The sequence below is a fragment of the Homo sapiens genome, chromosome 10 (assembly GCF_000001405.40).
Source record: "Homo sapiens chromosome 10, GRCh38.p14 Primary Assembly".
NCBI classification, from domain to species: Eukaryota; Metazoa; Chordata; class Mammalia; order Primates; family Hominidae; genus Homo; species Homo sapiens.
The window spans coordinates 70,092,620-70,111,259 of record NC_000010.11 but is presented as its reverse complement, the minus strand read 5'-3'; the positions used below and the strand labels follow the sequence as shown (position 1 = coordinate 70,111,259).

Here is an 18,640-nt window from a genome sequence, read left to right as displayed (position 1 = left end):
TCTCTCTCTGTTGCCCAGGCTGGAGTGCAGTGGCGCGATCTCAGCTCACTGCAACCTCCACCTCCCGGGTTCAAGCGATTCTCCTGCCTCAGCATCCCAAGCAGCTGGGACTACAAGTGCGCACCATCATGCCTGGCTAATTTTTGTATTTTTAGTAGAGACGGGGTTTCACCATGTTGGCTAGGCTGGTCTTGAACTCCTGACCTCAGGTGATCCGCCTGCCTCGGCCTCCCAAAGTGCTGGGATTACAGGTGTGAGCCACCGTGCCCTGCCAAGCACAATGATTTTAGTCAAGGTCACAGGGCTGGCCAAGTGAAGAGTGCCCTGTATTTTATTTTTTATTATACTTTTTTTAAATTAGTTTTTTTTTCAGAGGCAAAGTCTTGCTCCATCACTCAGGCTAGAGTGCAGTGGTGTGATCATAGCTCACTGCAGCTTCAAACCTCTGGGCTCAAGCTATCTGTCTTCTGCCTCAGCCTCCTCAGTAGCTGGGACTAAAGGCGTGTGCCTATAAAAAAATTTTTTTTTTTAAATTTTTTGTAGAGATGGGTCTTGTTATGTTGCCCAGGCTGGTCTCGAACTCCTGGCCTCAAATGATCCTCCTGCCTCAGCCTCCTAAAGCTTTTGGATTTACAGGCGTGAGCCACCGTGCCAGCTCCCTATATTTGATTCTATGTCACCTGACCAAGTCAAGCTTGGCTTTAAAAATGCTAGCCATTCAGCATTAAAAATACCTGGTCTTCAAACAAGCAAACAGAAGTTTTATTAGCTCCCTCCAAACTGGTTTATATACTAACCCAATTGCTTAGTAAAGGGCAAAAATGTATGCTCCAAACCTGTCTTCGTAAGTCCTTTTTTATGCACTTAATATTTCATAGGCACAGGCCCATGTAATTTCAGCATTGTGACTCCGGGCATGGCGGGGTTAATGAAAGTTTGTTAAAGGCCCCAGGTTCCAGGGAGCTACTGATAGTGCCATCCACCAGGCTGGGCCACAGCACCAGCTTCCAGGGACACAGCCAGAATGGTCGTTAGGGGTCAGCCACAGAGACCCCTGGAGCAGGTCCAGGAGGGGCCTGTTAATAGGAATTCTTCCCAATCGCATGTATTCCAGCACAGAACAGCACTGCCGTGGTTCCACCGACGAAAGAATGCATCTCACAGCATCTCTGGGCCTGGAATGCTGAGACTCAATGCTGCTTGCCTAGGTTGATGTGTGATTACAGCAGGAACCTAGGTCTCATTATTTTCCTCTTGGGCTTCCCAGGACACAGCTATAAACCATAGCTATATTATAAAGGACAGCTCTCAAGGTGAGAGGGTGTTCAAAATTAAAGCAATAGATTGGCTAGGGGCATGAAGGGAAAGGATATGTTTTATGTGACAGCAGATATCCTCATTATGTATCTGAAACAATGCCCAGCTGGGATCTGTGACAATCCAGTCATTGCCCAGTCTCCTTTTCAGCAATCACTCGGGGACAGATTTTCACTTCTCTGGGTGTATTCATCAAAGCCTCGAACTCCTGGCTCTGCAGTCTCCCAGAGCAGCAACGGAATTCTCTGGGGATTCTGGAGCCAGAGGTCGGAGATGGGGGGCCTGAGATTCTGCATTCTGACATCGGTCACTGCTGCCTATGGACCACACTTTGAGTAGCAAGGCCTTCGAGCCTGGCGTTTTCTGATCATGTGTCCTGGACATGGACAGCTGGTGGGAATATGGACTTTGAACCTGGAAGGCTCTCAAAAAATAACACACCAGCTGGCCTCTGCCTCCCGCTCCTCCCCTGGGCTAGCCTTCCTCCTGGGGCTTTAACATCAAGGAGGCACTGGGGCTGGCCCCAGCCGGGGAAGACCTGCTGCCTAGGAGCCAGTGGGCTCGCTTCCCCATGGTTTCTGAAGGATGAAAACCGGGTTTCCTGCCCTGTCATCTGGTCAGCATACTTGGCTGTGCTGGCAGCCCTTGGCAACACCCAGATCAGATGTAAGTGGGGGAGCAGCTGATTTCCAGGGAAAAAGCCGGAGGAATCAACTCAGGGGAACTGCATCTTACCTGCCGCTGGGGAAAGGCGGGAACGCGACGGACTTTAGCTTCTTGTCCTCCGCCGCTGACAGGCAGTTTTTGATGGTCTCTTCAAGCTGTTCTTCACATTTGTCGGAGCCCCACTGAGGGATGTGACAGTGGATGACAAATTTGGCTGCGAGTCCACTGGATTGGCTGACGGCGGCTGGGACATAGGAGAGAAAATGCCGCGGGTTATTTCCTAAGGTTTCCTAGGTTATAGCCTAACCTCATCAGGTACCTGTTAGATCTGGAGATAAGGCAGTGATAGAGACGTTGGCTGGGCAGCATCCTGTGCTCCTGATGTGGACTATGTTTAACGAGAGCAAGAGCTGGGCTGTATTGCTTTGCACAGTTAGCACAAGCTTTGGGTAGAAGCGTTTAATGCTGCTCTGATGCGCCATTTTCATATGGTCTGCCAAGTAGTCCCTGGGTTGGGCTACCTCCTCACAATGGTTCCTAGTTAAAGGGACACATCAGATCCTCTCTGGTGGCTGTGGCAGGTAAAGTAATGGCATCCCAAAACATCCACGTCCTCCTCCCTGAAACCTGTGGGTGTTCCCGTACATGGCAAAAAGGACTTTGCAGATGTGATTAAGTGAAGGCTCTTGAGATGGGGAGATGATCCTGGACTGTCTGGGTGAGCCTGGGACCTGATAAGAGGGAGGCAAGAAGGTCAAAGGCAGGAGAAGGCCGTGGGATGAAGGAGACAGAGATTGGAACGATGCAGCCAGGAGCCAAGGAATGTTGCAGCTTAGAAGCTGGAAAAGGCAAGGAAGGGATCCTTCCCTGAGCCTCCAGAAGGAACCAGCCCTGCCAACACCTGGATCTTAGACTCTTAAAACTCATTGTGGACTTCTGGCCTCCAGAACTGTAAGAAGACAAATTTGTGTTGTCTGAAGCCACGAACTTTGTGGTAATTTGTTACAGTAGCCACAGGAAATGAATACAGTGGCTTTTATTTTTATTTTTTTATTTTTAGTTTTTTTTTGAGACAGAGTCTTTTTCTGTCGCCCAGGCTGGAGTGCAGTGGTGCGATCTCAGCTCGCTGCAACCTCCACCTCCTGGGTTCAAGTGATTCTAGTGCCTCAGCCTCTCGAGTAGCTGGGATTACAGGCATGTGCTAATTTTTAAAATTTTTTTATAGAGATGAGGTTTTGCTATGTTGCCCAGACTGGTCTTGAACTCCAGGGCTCAAGTGATCCTCTTGCCTCAGGCACCCAAAGTGCTGGGATTACAGGCGTGAGCCATCACACCTGGCCTACTGTGGCTTTTAAAAAATAGCTGTGCCTGGGCCCCACAGAGTCAGGGTACTGACCACCCAGAGGTCCTGACTCAGTAGGTCTGGTGCAGGGGCTTATGCTTATGTGATTTTAGGACCTTCTATGAGTTGAGAACCACTGAACTTGATTGTGTAGTTCCTTGACAGGGACTGCCATTTGATGATCTCCACATGCCCTGCAGAGAGTGGGGTTTCAAAAGCGGGCTGTGAAACTGAATTAGGCCAGCCTTGTCTCACAATTTCTGTCATACTCCTTTGTTTTACTGTTTACTCCCCTAAATGTGGTTCCCATTGGTGACAGAGTTGATAAAGCCCCGTGGCTGCTAAGCTCGAGGGAAGTCCCTGTGGGACTCCCCAGGGGAGCAGTTCCCTCGGATCTGCCTGAGGCAGCTGCAGCTTCAGCCATGAGCCATGCTTGCCCCCACGCTGCCCGTCTGCGCCCTGTGCCCCTCCAGGAACCCAGGAATCGGCGTAGCAAGGGTCCGTGGCCACTAGGGGCAGCACTTGTAACAGAAACGTGTGTCCGCCGTATTCCAGAGCTGTGTGTGGGGTTGAGGTGAAAGACTGACTGGAAATCTATGATGCCCACCTAGTTTATATAAGTATTTCCTGGCAATGTCCACAGTGTCAGGGAAGTGCTGACTGCACTTCCTCACATGGGTAGAAGCCAAATCCAAGGGACCCCTTCGTCCATCAGGGGAGGCTGTAGGCTCCCTGCCTTCCAGTGCCTAGACGGGGCTCAGTGTCATCACACGTGAACGCCTGAGTGCAGGACCCAGGCCACACAATACACCGAGGCCCTGGGTAGGGGCCCGCCATGCGTGCTGACTCTACGACCACGTATATTTGTGCACCAGAAGCAGAGTGTCCCTCTTTGGACTGAACAATGATGCCCCTAAAACTGGAGGCTGCTCTGCTGAGAACCAAGGACCCTGGAGATGGGCCTTGCCTGCATGGTGCCATCTTCCCGAGCACCTGGCTGCTATTGTATGCCGGACAGAGTTTGGCTTGTTACAGTCATGGCTGATTTATTTCATATATTTTAAAAGTATAATCATGTTACTAGCAGAATGGTATTCCTCTAATGTAAAGTCTTTTTTTTTTTTTTTTTTTTGAGACAGGATGCCCCTCTGTTGCCCAGGCTGGAGTGCAGTGGCTCGATCACAGCTCACTGCAACCTCTGCCTCTCGGGTTCAAGCGATTCGATTCTCCTGCCTCAGCTTCCCAAGTGGCTGGGATTACAGGCACCCGCCACCATGCCCGGCTAATTTTTTGTATTTTTAGTAGAGATGGGGTTTCACCATGTTGGCCAGGTTGGTCTTGAACTCCTGACCTCAAGTGATCCACCCACCTCGGCCTCCCAAAGTGCTAGGATTATACTGCACCCAGCCAAAAGTCATTTTTAAATAAAAGGAATATGTTCCTATTGGCAATGTCAAACATCCAATCAAGTAAAAAATGACTTTCAGGGTAGTGCACGATGACATTTCAGTCCAAAACAAAGTATGTTCATGGCAACTGGAAATGAATAACACAGCTTGTAGCCATAATGCTTTGTAATGTTCTCCAGAGTTGTCAAGGATGAGGGTCAAGTTATTGCAAGGGCTGTGACCCTGGTATTTGGTATAAGCACCTATCCACATAATGACTAGGGGCATTCTCTTACCTAATGTGATGTTGCCTGGTGAAGACCTGCATTCTGAGGGTGGCAGTGCTGCTGCTGGGAGCTTCTAGAACCTTCCCCCAGGTGAGCCATCACAGTTCTTGGGAGTCACCACAGCAAAAGGGGACTCTAGGTTGGCCCCTTGTCCTGCTGAGAGGCTGCTACTGCTGATGCCTGGTTTCCGTGACACTGTGGGTTTTCTTTTAACAGCACCTCAGTTTCCCACAATGGCCTCTCTTCTTCCTGCGTGTCTGGGCCCAGTGCTCTTCTCTCTGCTGCAGCCCCACCTCCTAAGCAGCCATCTGCAAGCCATTTTCCTCCTTAGCTTTCAACAGGGACCTGCACCTCATGACCTTTCTGGGGCCCCAGGGCTAACACGTGCCCAGTAAAATGGCCATTCACTCCTGAAACCCGATTCCCCTTTTTCCCTCTTTGTCACTGCAGACACCATCAGTTTCCTCTGCCTTGTCTCATTTCAGGCCCATGTGCTTCATTTTCACCCCCACTCCACCCCCACCCTCATCCAATACAGCTTTCTTGATGGTCTTCGGGCCCCAGCCCTCTGTCTGCCAAACCATCCTCCACACGGTTGCTGGAGCCAAGGTCCTTAAACTCCACATTTAAACTCAGAATCTGCAACTGCTCCTGATTGCCCCCTGGCCTTACTGCAGTCCTCCCAGGCTCCCTTCATGGTCGGCCCCTCTCCCCTTGGAGTCTATCCATTTCTTGCTCTTTCTGGATGCCCAGTCGTCCTCCAGCCAGTGGGCTCAGTCCCCTGCACACATGGGTCTGGCTGCACCTCTGTCTCCACACTTGGCTATCCTCCTTTGTCCCTGACTCCCTCGCCCATTCTCTCCGGGCCTCTGCCATGCAATTCAGCAGCCAGCTGTGCTAAGTGATGTACTGTGTTACCCTGGGGTCCCCGCCTGGTTGTAAAATTCAGGAGTGTTCAGGGCCTACAATCACATCCACATCCTGATGCCTGCGCCCGACAGCACACACCGTAGATGCTTAACGTGAACTGGTTCTGCCCCAGCTGACATCTTCACTGAAGCACTTTTGTATTCCTTGCTGCTGCCTGGCTCCTGCCACAGTCACTGGCAGGCAGGTGCTCCAATATTCAACAAATGAATGAAAGTCCTGACTTTTCATCAGTTTGCTCAGCCCTGGAAACCCTGGACTTACCTTAGCTCCAGCTTCTGCCTCCCTGAACATGCAGCATCGCTGCCTCTCACTGACTCTGCACCTGAAATATTTTCTTGATCCACCCTCCCCGACCCCCTGCCACAGGGTGGGCCTGCACTGCAGTTGGTCTGTTTTAACCATGTTAAGATGCACTTTTTTTTTGTTTAAATATTTTAATATTGTTGAAATCAGGAAGCATCTTAGAACTGCTGTCAGCCTGGAGCTGAGTTCTTCCAGAAAGAAATTACATTTCCTTCTATGTCACCTGGGGACACTACCAAACTAAGGCTATGTCTCACTCTCTTCTCTGCCTCAGGTTTTGAGCTGCACTGGATCTGGCTGCAAATCTTCAGGAGCACTGGCTTGCGGTTCAAATTCTTTTTCTGTTTTTTAGACACAGAGTTTCACTCTTGCCACCCAGGCTGGAGTGCAATAGCGTGATCTCGGCTCACTGCAACCTCTGCCTTCTGGGTTCAAGTGATTCTCCTGCCTCAGCCTCCCAAGTAGCTGGGATTACAGGCACCCACCACCACGCCCAGCTAATTTTTGTATTTTTACTAGACAGGGTTTCTCCATGTTGGTCAGGCTGGTCTCAAACTCCCGACCTCAGGTGAGCCACCCGCCTCTGCCTCTCAAAGTGCTTCGATTACAGGCGTGAGCCACCATGCCTGGCCAAATTCTTTAGTGAGGCTTTTTTTTTTTTTTTCCTCTCTGTCCACTGGATGCCAAGGTCAAGATATTTGCTCCTCCTTTCTGCGTGGTGGGTTCATGTCTTGCTTGCTGTTATACTAATGTGCCCCAGCTTTATGTGGGGCCTCCTATTAGACACTTTATTTTGGAAATTTATTTTTTCTTAATGTTACATACAATAAGAGTATATCTTAACAACTGATGGTGTTTTTAAATGAAATGCAGTGTGGTGTTAGACAGTGGCGAACCATCTCCCCTTCTCCATTTTTCCCAGGGTGCTAACACTCACTGGCCCCAGGCCATGGCTTCTTACACCTAACATATTTGCACCAATGTCTTAGCTCAAAATTGTGTCCTGTAGCCCTCTCCTTCCTTCCAGGTTCATGTCTATTTCCTTGGTGCAGACTTTTGTATTCTTTCCAGCTAGTGTCTGGATTGCTGCCTCTCAACTTCTGCACGTCTGAAATTGTACATCTTTTGTCCTCATTCTTGAATGACAACGTAGCAAAATGTGGAATTCTTGGTTGACAGTTTTTTTTTTCCCTTCAGTGCTTTGAAGGTATTTCTTTCCTGTTTCCACACATCTTTTTTTTTGCTGATGAGAAGTCTGCTGTCAGTAGAAGAGCCATCATTTCTTTACAAATGATCTGCCTCTCCTCTCGGGTTACTTTGAAGGTTTCTTTTGATTTTTCAATTTCTAAGGCTTTACCACAACACTCCAGGTTTTGGATTTATTTTCATGTATTTTGCTTGATATTTTCAGCTTAAGGGCTCATGCTTCATCCTAGAAAATTCTCAGCTACGATCTCCTTAAATAATGCTTTTCTACTTTCTATTTCTGCCTTTGGAACTCTGTTTAGAAGTGTGTTGGTGCTGGGCACGGTGGCTCCCACCTGTAATCCTAGCATTTTGGGAGGCTGAGGCAGGAGGATCACTTAAGCCCAGCAGTTCAAGATCAGCCTGGGCAACACAGCAAGAACCCATCTCTATTTAAAAAATAATTTAAAAAAGAAGTGTGTTGGAGCTTCTCATTCTGTGCAGAGCAGCTATTTTTCCTCTCCTTTGCACCCTATCAGGCAGTTTCTGGGGAACCTTCCCCACACCCAGGCCCCCAGTCCTGATGCCGTCTTAGATGACTGAGTTGGGGCTTGGTCTCATGGTTATATCGGGGATGTGGTAGAGCCAAACATTGAGTCGGTGGGCAATGTGGCCCTGGGCTTGGGTGAGGGGCTCTCTTCTCCCTTCTGCTACCCTAGAAAGACAGATTTTTATAGAAGTTGTAGCCCTGGGTGGTGGCGAGAGCTTTGGCTTCTTGTAAAGGCCGCGAGAGTCTCATGCAGCCCCTTGCTTTGGGCAGTGAGTCTGGCTCTGGCCCTCTTTATACTCTGATACAAAGTGAAGCGACTCTGCATCTTATAGACCTGGAGCCGAGGCCTGGGGCGGCAGCATCCTGCAGGTGCTGCTGCAGCCCTCCTGTCTCTGTCTACATGGAGGCTTATCTTATATTTGAGTGTGGCTCTTAGGGTTTTTAAAGAGACACTGCATCTATTACTGCTTTGCCTGTGGGGAGTAGTGGGTGGAGATTTAAAGTGTGGGCTCTTGTTCTTTCTGGACTAGAAGCCCCCATTACTTTTTTCTTTTCTTCTTTTTTCTTTTTTTTTTGAGACAGAATCTTTCTCTGTTGCCCAGGCTGGAGTGCAGTGGCACGATCTTGGCTCACTGCAACCTCCACTTCCCAGGTTCAAGTGATTCTCCTGCTTCAGCCTCTGAGTAGCTTGGGATTACAGGCATGCGCCACCATGCCTGGCTAATTTTTGTATTTTTAGTAGAGACGGGGTTTCACCATGTTGGTCAAACCGGTCTTGAACTCCTGTCCTCGTGATCCGCCTGCCTCAGCCTCCCAAAGTGCTGGGATTACACGCATGAGCCACAGTACCTGGGCCCTACTTTTATAACAATCAAGTCTAATCTGGACAGCCCCCTGCTTAAACTTCCAAGTGCCCTCATGTCCATGTAGGGTCAGATCCAGACCCCTTCGCACAGCCCACAGGCCCAGACTCATCTTGGCTGCTGTTTCTCTCCTCCCACGTGCTGACCCAAGACTCCCTGCTCATGCAAGACAAGCGTCTTCTTGCATGCAGTGCTCCTATTGCCCTCTGTGTCCCACCCCCAAGGGGTCTCACAGCCTCACTGCAGTCCTCCCACGCTCCCCTACGCTGAGGTCGTGGCTCCTGCTCTGTGCCCCAATTATGCATCTGAGGGCAGCGGTGGGTTTTATTTTCCTCTGAAGCCCTGCGGCACTTGGCACTGACTGAGGGTACAAGGAGTGAACTGATTGGGAGTCATGTGGGTGGGAACATGGATCTGAGGTTGAATCCACCTGTCAAAAAGTTGCCCAATATCCTGGACAAGAGATGTTTAAAAAAAACTTGTGCACAGATGTTCACTGCAGCTCTATTCACAATCACCAAAGGCGGAAACAGCCCAAATGTCCATCAGTAAATGAACGGTTAAACAAAATGGAATATTATTCAGCCATGAAAAGGAATAAGTACTGACCCATGCTACAGTATGGATGAACTTTGAAAAAAATGTTAAGTGAGAGAAGCCAGACAGAAAAGTCATATATTGCATGATCCCATTTATATGAAATGTCCAGAATAGGCAAATCCGTAGAGACAGAAAGTAGATTAGTGCTTGCCAGGGCCTGAGGGGGGCACTGGGCATGACTGCTTAATGGTTAGGGGGTTTGTTGGGGGAAAAGCTAAGTGTTGAGAGAAGCTGAGGCAGGGCTTGCATGTCTGACGTAATGTAAAAGAGTCTTGGAACATGTCCGGGGTCCAGATTCGAAAACGCCTTGTGGCCTTTGGAACACCAAGCTCTGTGCCAAAGGGTGGAAGGCCACCCTGACACACCATAATCTAAGCCCAGGGCATAAAACCCCTCGTGGCTTGGATAGAATCCAGGGCTCGTGGCTCTGAATGTGTCTAGACTTGCTGGCTTCTTGCTCCTTGCTCTCCCAGGATCGATTGTATCTTGAGTTAAAAGAACCTGCTCTCCATTATCTCAAGTAGCAGAATATGTTCCAAATGCTTCAAAGGAAATGCTAAACTGTCACAGCTGTAGATCATGCGCTTGCCCTTTCGACCCCCACATCCTCATCACCTGTTTCTTTGTTTGATCACCAATAAATAGCCTGGGCTTCCAGAGCTCGGGGCCTTCACAACCGCCACACATTAGTGACAGCCCCCTGGACCCACTTTCTCTCTCAAACTATCTTTTCTCATTCCTTTGACTCCGCTGGACTTTGTCACCCCCATGACCTGGTGTTGAGTCCGATCAACCCAACAGGGTTTCTGTGTGAGGTGATATCAAAGCTCTGGACTAGGTGGTGGTGATGGCTGCACGACACTGTAAAAGTACTTAATGCCACTGAATTATACGCTTTAAAATAGTTCCAGTGGCCGGGTGTGGTGGCTCATGTCTGTAATCCCAGCACTTTGGGAGGCCAAGGCGGGTGGATCACTTGAGGTTAGGACTTTGAGACCAGCCTGGCCAACATGGCAAAACCCCATCTCTACTAAAAATACAAACACTAGCCAGGCATGGTGGCATGCGCCTGTAATTCCAGCAACTCGGGAGGCTAAGGCACAAGAATCGTTTGAACTTGGGAGGCAGAGGTTGCAGTGAGCTGAGATCATGCCACTACACTCCAGCCTGGGCGACAGAGTGAGACTCTTTCTCAAAAAAAAAAAAAAAAAGAACAAAACATAGTTCCAGTGGTAAGTCCTATGGTGTGTGTATTTTATCACACACATGCAAAGTTCACCCAATGGCTCTAGACCATTTTGGGGGATCTGATGCAAACTGACTTGAATTATTCAAACATATTGGAGTCCCCAGGACATCTGAAAGGATCTCTATGGGCCTGCCCAAATTACCTGAGATGCTAAAACAGCTTTCTGATTAGTTATGGCATACTTTGACTCATAAGCTGAATAGGCATGAGGCACGTGAGGCTGGAGACTCCAGAGAGGAGGGTGAGGCCATGCTGGTGACAGGAGCCTAGTTCCACACTTACCTTCGGCGACTTCCAAAGGGCCTTGGGATTTGCGAAGCTCCTTTACCGTTTCCAAGAACTCTTTTCCCCCAGCCTTTTCCAAGGCTTTACCTGCAAAGGAGAGCAATGGGAAGCCACTGTGGTTGTTCTTTCAATCTAATTACACTGTTTGACATATTTGTAGTAGGCCAGGAGAAAACAAAAGCACTGTTAGAAACTAGGAATTGAACTTCCCAATTGTTATCCTGGTTTGCCAGTGGTCAGGGGAGGCAGGGGACTCTGGGCCTCAGTCTAGCAGACTTAGATTGGCAAGCTTTTACCAAGGATATTTTAAGGGGTGATTTGGCCATAAAGCGGTCTCATGGCTTGAGTCTTGTAGATGATTTAAAAACAAAACAACAAAAAACTGTGATTCTAGTGTTGTGTCCCACAGGTTTAGTACTCATGTGGAGAGCTCTGAAGTCCTGGTCCCATCACAGTGCCATCAACGTACTGTACGTGCTTGAGTCAAAGGACAGACAGAGGCCCAGGGCAGCCTGGCATGTTGTTCCCCCAACCCGGTGCTCAGTTTGCAATGGAGAAATGCAGAGAGGCTAATCTCTAAGGACTTTCCTGCCGGGAGATGCCCTGAGCCTTTGATGTTAGGGGAATGCCCCACTCTTTCTTTTTTTTCCTACCTCAGCTCTTACTTCTACACAGGCCAAGTGGAACCCCTGGGAGATGACAGGACACCACCTCTGACCCCACAGGAACCCTGTCGGTGTGCACCAGCGCATCCAGCTCTCATGTCTCTGAGATGACATGGGTGTTTTGTCCAGACTGGGATGACGGCAGCTTTGGGGCAGCAGAGGAGGCATTTTTCAGATGTTTTCATCTTCGAATGAACTTGGTGATCTGGATGTCTGCAGCAAGTCTCAGCAATCTCTTTATGAATCATCATTATTATTATGGTTCAGTTCATGGTCTTTCCCAGGGCCTGGGTGCTGATGCTTCCCCACTCCACACTCGAGCCTCAAGTATATGTGGACAGCCACAGTACACTGTGCAGCTGGTTTAGGACAAGTGTCTATTCCAGTGGTCACTGTCCACTGGGGGAGGGCGTGCAGAGGGGTTTTCTTTGTTAATGTTCTTGGGTTTCCATGATGCAACTGAGAAATGGTGATTGTGCATTATACCCAGTACCCCTGAGACTCCTTTCTGGCCCCCAGATTCCTGGACACTGTTGATCTATTGGGTCCAGAAGCCTGGAGAAGGCCGGGTAACTGAAGCTGGTAGCCAGTTCATGTTGAGAAGCAGAGGACTAGGTCTACACTGGCGCCCTCTGCATTCAGGTCAAGGGCCAAATGGGAATGTGCAGAAGGCAAGGGGAATCCACCCTCCTCACTGAAGCCTTTTAAGAAAAAAGCATCCTGGAGAGAGGTAGTTTCTCTCTACAGAAGCATTCCCAAGAAGGAAAGGAGCAATGCTAGAATGAGAATACCACAGCTTTGCAACTCCTAACGAATGGCGGAATCTAGAGAAGAGGCATCAATGGCCACCAGCATCACACCAATACAGACAACCAGGCACGACGCGCCTCCTCGGGCACGAGCACTCGCCACTGACCAAGGAGTCTTGGCAAAGTTTTCGAACCTACACCTCATGAAACCTCTAGATCCAACCACCAAGTTATAAAAAAGCAAAGAAACATGTTTTATGATGCCAGGAGGATATAATCAACAAAATCCGGACTGCATGAAACCCTATAGGACAAATGGCCCAGCTTCCTCAACAAATGAATTGCAAAGAAATAAGAAAGAGATGAAGGAGGAACCTATGGTATAAGAGACTCATCAACCAACTGCAGTGCGTGGACTGATTTGGATCCGAAATCAAATAAACAAATTTTCTTTCTTTCCTTTCTTCCTTTCTCTCTCCCCCTCCCCCTCCTTCCCTCCCTCCTTCCTTCTCTACCTTCCCTTCCTTCCTTTCTCTCTCTCTCTCCCTCTGCCTCTCTCTTTCTCTCTTTTTCTTTCCCTCCCTCCCTCCCTCTCTCTCTCTCTTTTTCTTTCTTTCCTTTCTTAATTTCTTGACATGGTCTCACTCTGTGCACTCTGTGGCCCAGGCTGGAGTGTAGTGGTATGATCACAGTTCACTGCAGCCTAGAACTCCTGGGCTTAAGTGATCCTCCCACCCCAGCCTCCCACCTTAGCTGGGAGCACAGGCATATGCCACCAAGCCTGGCTAATTTTTGTATTTTTTGTAGAGATGGGGTTTTGCCATGTGCCCAGGTTGGTCTGGAACTTCTGAGCTCAAGTGGTCCGCCCACCTCAGCCTCCCAAAGTGCTGGGATTACAGGTGTGAGCCACCGTACTCGGGCCCCCCTTTTTTATAAGAGATGAGGGTCCCACTTATATTGTCCAGGCTGGTCTCAAACTCCTGGGCTCAAGCGATCCTCCTGCCTCAGCTTCCCAAGTAGCTGGGACTACAGGAGTGTGCCACTGTGCCTGGCTTAAACAAATGTTTAAGAAACTTGACATTTATGATGTAACTGGAATTGGAACACTGGTAATTTGTTGATATTGCTATCTTTTTAAGGGTACAATAATGGTATTGTGGCTGTGTTGTTAGTAAACAGCCCTTATCTGTTACAAGTCATTGTGAAATATTCATAGATAAAATGATGTCTGGAAGTATGTGGAGGGGGTAAGAGCTGAAACAAAGGTGGCCATGGGTGGTGATTATTGCATCTGATTGCATAGGGTTTCATTATACTTTTCTGTTATTTTTTGTGTATGCTTGACTTTTCCCATAATAACATAATGTTTTGAAAAGAGTAAGACAGGGCCTTGGCTGCTGGGATGATTAGTTTGGGTGATGGTGGTGGAAAATGGAATCGTAATGGGAGGGACTCCTCCTAACACAGCAGCAATAAAACCACTGTCAATTACTAACTGCCTAGGAGCCCAGCACTGTGCTAAGCCCCATCACAGCACCCCTATGGGACAGGTACTATTGCTATCCTCCCTTACAGAGGAGGAAACGGAGGTTCAGGGAGGTTTAGAAACCTGCCAAAGGTCAGCTAGGAAGCAATTCAGAAAAGCTGGGACAGTCCAGGCAGGCCGACCTGGAACCTGCCCTCTTAACCACCTGACTGCCTTTAGCCCATTTCTCCTCCCAAGACCCTGAAGCGGTTGGCCTTAGAATCCACTGCTGGGATCTGAGCGTGAATTTTTGCTCCCAGACCAGTGCTCTTTCTACTCTGCCACCATGCCAATTAAAAAAAAGAAGCATATTATTTTTCTTACATAAAAATTTCATTACTATAGAAATGTGTAAAGTATGAACACTGCAATGTGTCAGTGAGAGGCAGGACACCTATTAAAAGAGCTCCAGATGAAGGCTACTAGAGGGCGTCCTTCCATGGAGAGTGGAAGGAGACCTGTTTCTCTGTAATGCTGACTTTTCCCAGGGCTGTCCTATCTCCTTTTCAGCACAGCAAGTGGCCTCTGATGCCAGGAGGAAGCCCTGAGTGAGTCCAGCTGCCTGGGGCCCCTGGTGCTACCAGCCAGGGCTGAACTACTAGCATCTACCTCAAATTGCCTCCCTCACAGGCAAGCCCTGTACCCTAGAGACAAAGCCCCTTCTTTGCTCACTTTACCCTTTCCGTGGAGAGTTTAAGGCAGTTCTGCTTGGTAAAAATGGATGGGATGGGGACTGTTAGCATGCTGTTATTTCCAGCGCCCATAACAGCTTACCCTCCCAAGCTCCTCCACCCTGGCTATTAACAGCTCCCTCTGCCACTCGTGGGACAGGTGGCAAACCACAGGCAAAAATAACTCAATGCTCATAGCTTAATGGACAATCTAATTTTTTTCTAGATGTCCATTTCCCTTTTATCAATAGCACTCTCAATATTTAAGCTTACGATATATGTAAACATGTACAACAATATTTATAGTAGCACTATTCACTATAGCTCAAACTGGAAACTACCCCAAATGTCATCAGTGGTAGAATAGATCAATAAACTGTCATATATTTATAGAGTGTAATACTACAGAGCAAGGAAAATGAATGAATACAAGCATACTCAACGACATGGATAGATTTCACAATACTAAGTTGAGCAAAAGGAGTCGGACCCAGAAGAGGACAAGATTTCATTTTTACAAAATTCAAGACAGATGAAACCCATCTCTGCTTTGATAAGAAAGGACAGTGGTTACCCTTGGAGGAAATACTGACTGGGAGTGGGGCTGAGGGAGACTTCTGGGGTGCTGGTAAGGGTCTGCTTCAGGATCTTGGTGCTGGTTGCAAAGTGGGGTTCACTTTGAGAAAAATTCATCAAGCTCTATGCTAATGATTTGCTTTTACACAATACCCCAATAAAAATTTCAAAAATATATGCAGAATTAAAACAAAGTTAGCTTCTCTCTAGTGAAACTGTTCAACTACACATAAAGACAGAGCTTGACATGGGACCCCAGCGGAGGGACAGCCAGTTGACAATGATCAGCTTCACAAGAACTTGCCTGAACAGTGGCCTATTCTATGGCACTTCTACTGAAGTCTCAGGACCTTACCTATATCTTCTTTGAGGTCAATTTCGGCTGTGGTTGGGTGGACAATGCCCTCCACTCTCATGGAGCCAATATGGCTGATGTCACTCTGGGTTAAGGACAGCTGCATTAGGAAGAAAAGGTGGTGAATGTGGAAAAGATAAAATTCTGTTGAAAAATCTCATATTTTACTTGCATTCATTAATTCTCTTTAATTATTCATACCCAATGTCAACATAGGGGCTGCATAGAGAGTGACAACCTCCAGTTTCCCAGGTGTTTGGCTTGCAATAAGCTCTTTGAGCTCAGTGGATTTGCTTTCCACTCTGGGGCTGGCAGCATGCAACAAATCCATTTCTTCTTCCCTGGAACAGGAACAGGGCCTCCCCTCTCTTTTTTTTTTTTTTTTTGAGACGGAGTCTCACTCTGTCTCCCAGGCTGGAGTGCAGTGGCGTGATCTCGGCTCACTGCAAGCTCTGCCTCCCAGGTTCACGCCATTCTCCTGCCTCAGCCTCCTGAGTAGCTGGGACTACAGGCGCCCGCCACCATGCCCAGCTAATTTTTTGTATTTTTAGTAGAGACGGAGTTTCATCGTGTTAGCCAGGATGATCTTGATCTCCCGACCTCTTGATCCACCCGCCTCTGCCTCCCAAAGTGCTGGGATTACAGGCGTGAGCCACCGCGCCTGGCCCCCTCTCCTTTCTTTCTTTCCCTTACAGCTCATGCCTTTGGTTCCCAACCCTGGTGGCCTTAGTTTTCAGTGATGCATCTTCTGAGAAGCTCCTGCAAGGAAGCCCAGGGCTTGCTCTCTCTTCTCCCCTCAGCATCCTGCATTCTCCCTAGAAGAACACAAAATCTGTGGGGCAGGGCTCTGAAGCCAATAACCTTGCTGGAGAGAAGTAATGGGCTCTGGGATTCTGACCTGGGGGTGTCTGGCTCCCTTGCCCTTTGGAGACCACAGTCTTGGGGCTACCATTGGGAATTGCTATCCTATGTGTTCACAGTAGAGTGGAATGGAGGGCATTCTCTATTGTTGGCCCATGTGAGCAAGACCTTTATGTTGCCTTAGCTAAGTGAGAGAAAGCTAATCGTCATGTAACAGTGAACAGGCCAGAGAGGGGACATAAATTCCACCTCTTTGTTTCCCTGCTTTCATCAGTGACGAATTAGCAACCAGCCACACCGATGCTCTTCTTAGAACATACTCTTCCCAATTCTTTGAATGGAGGCTTACTGTGTTGTCAAGATGGAAACATTCAGCTACCAGAGATATGATTAACTGACTCTTTCCTTGGGTGTCTTATTTCAGCCCCAGTTGACTTGGTAGATAAATTGTCTGCTCAGTAAACTTTACACTTGTAGGAATGAATTATTTGCATGTCTGGTTGGGCTGCTGTTGTGTTGCTGAAGACTGTTCAAATGCATAGCCCTGTTTGTTTACTTTCTAAAGCCTAGGAAGGCAGGCAGACTGAATTATTGGCAAATAATTCATTTCTAATACCAAGGATATTTGGGAAACATATATTTCTATTTTCTTTCTTTGATAAATTACATTGAACCATGTAAGATGGGCCTCTCAGAAGCTGTCTGAGAAAGTTAGCTATGGATTTTTTTTTTGGCAGATGTAGAAATAACTGGGGTGTGGGGAATTCCCAGCAAAACCAGTAATGCCATCCTATCTACTGACCAGAAAGAGCTTCCATGCTCACCCTTGTCTGACCAATGTTAGCGTTAACAATTCTCAGCAAAAAAGAACAATTCTCACTCTCACAATGCTGACACTGCCACAGCTCTTTAGTTTAAAAATGAATAATTCAAGACTGCAGTGAAAATCATTATCAGGGGAGGAAAGGAGGCATCATTGCTTGTAAACAGTAGGTTATAAAAATACAGTGGTGTTTTAATATAGCACAAGGCAATTCTCTTTGTTACCTTCTGTCCCAGAACAAGGCTCTTAGAAGACAGAATGGTGAATCCATCCCCTGGCCCATCTTCAGAGGTGGAATTTGAAGTTCCTTCTTTATCGCTGTCCTTTGGTTTGGACTGTCGGTAAAAATCAAAAGGCAAGATGAGAACCAATCCAGAAAAAGCCTGAGGTGCCTTTATTAAGCTCTTCTCACGGCTGCCACCAAGTTGAATATGAAAGGAAGTGGTTAGGTGATGTGTTCTGCTGTTTCTTGAAGGAGGGGAGCAAAAGTCAGCAATATAAGGAAAGAAAAGGGTACCGCAAAATAGCAAAATAGAAAGTGTGTTAAAGGGCTCACACATACCTGCAGTCCTCACCTACCCCTGTGCACCAGCACATTGTCCTTGCTCATTTCAATGCCTGCAGCTCACGACGACAAGCATCGGAGCTGGGTGGGGCCGTTGATAGCCCATTGCTTAGCCTTCTTTCTCCCCAGGATTTCTCGGGGCACAGAGGCAGTGTGGAATGAAACATCCACAACTTCTACAGTAGGGTTGTCCAATAGAACTTTCTGTGATCGTGGAAATATTCATCTTGATCCTCAATAATGTTGCTGAGTGCTTGAAATGTGGCTGGTACAATCAAGGAGCTGAATTTTAAATTTGATTTAGTTTTAATTCAAATCCAAATAGCCTTGGCTTGTGTGCCTTAGCTCACACTTATAATTCCAATGCTTTGGGAGGCTGAGGCAGGAGGGTCGCTTGAGCCCAGGAGTTTGAGGCTACAGTGAGCTATGATCTCGCCACTGCATTACTGTACTCCAGCCTGGGTGACAGAGTGAGACCCCTGTCTCTTAAAAAAAAAAAGCCACATGTGACCAGTGGTTACTGTACTGGGCAACATAGGAAAACATTATTCTATCAGTGGCATCTCTGAGCTAAGCTACCTAGTATATCAAGCTAACCCAAACACCTAGTATATCAAGTATATGCCAAACACCTGAAATTCCACTGGCGGAACTCAGGGAATGCCTGCAGGAGACTAGAGGCTGTTTGGAAGGCAACACAGAGCTCTGCAGAGAAATAAAATGCAGGTTCCTGGCTATCATCGCTCACTTCAGATTTTGCTGGGGGTAGTAAAAGGGATCTGAAAACCATCCCTGCTTAGGGTTTGGAAACCTAGAGAAGACCCATTTCAGCTCTAACCTCAAAGGCCCTTTATTCTTTTACCTGTACATTCTTGTCATTTTCTT

General features: G+C 47.8%; 1 protein-coding gene across 1 annotated transcript in view, besides 1 other annotated feature; it reads right to left on the bottom strand.

Annotated features, from left to right (window-relative positions):
* MACROH2A2 (macroH2A.2 histone) overlaps positions 1 to 18,640 on the bottom strand; it is a 59,437-nt gene that overhangs the window by 1,023 nt on the left and 39,774 nt on the right. Inside the window, exons 5-8 of the mRNA NM_018649.3 lie at positions 17,415 to 17,525; positions 15,507 to 15,606; positions 10,963 to 11,052; positions 2,053 to 2,227 (exon numbers count right to left, since the gene is read on the bottom strand). Of these exons, the coding sequence (NP_061119.1) occupies positions 2,053 to 2,227; positions 10,963 to 11,052; positions 15,507 to 15,606; positions 17,415 to 17,525 (476 nt within the window). The remainder of the gene's footprint in view (positions 1 to 2,052; positions 2,228 to 10,962; positions 11,053 to 15,506; positions 15,607 to 17,414; positions 17,526 to 18,640) is intronic.
* Positions 3,695 to 3,774: an enhancer, noted in NCBI's record as "active region_3495". NCBI's record gives its function as "activates an Ori minimal core promoter by ATAC-STARR-seq in GM12878 lymphoblastoid cells {active_cell/tissue: GM12878}" and the evidence as "EXISTENCE:reporter gene assay evidence [ECO:0000049][PMID:35858748]".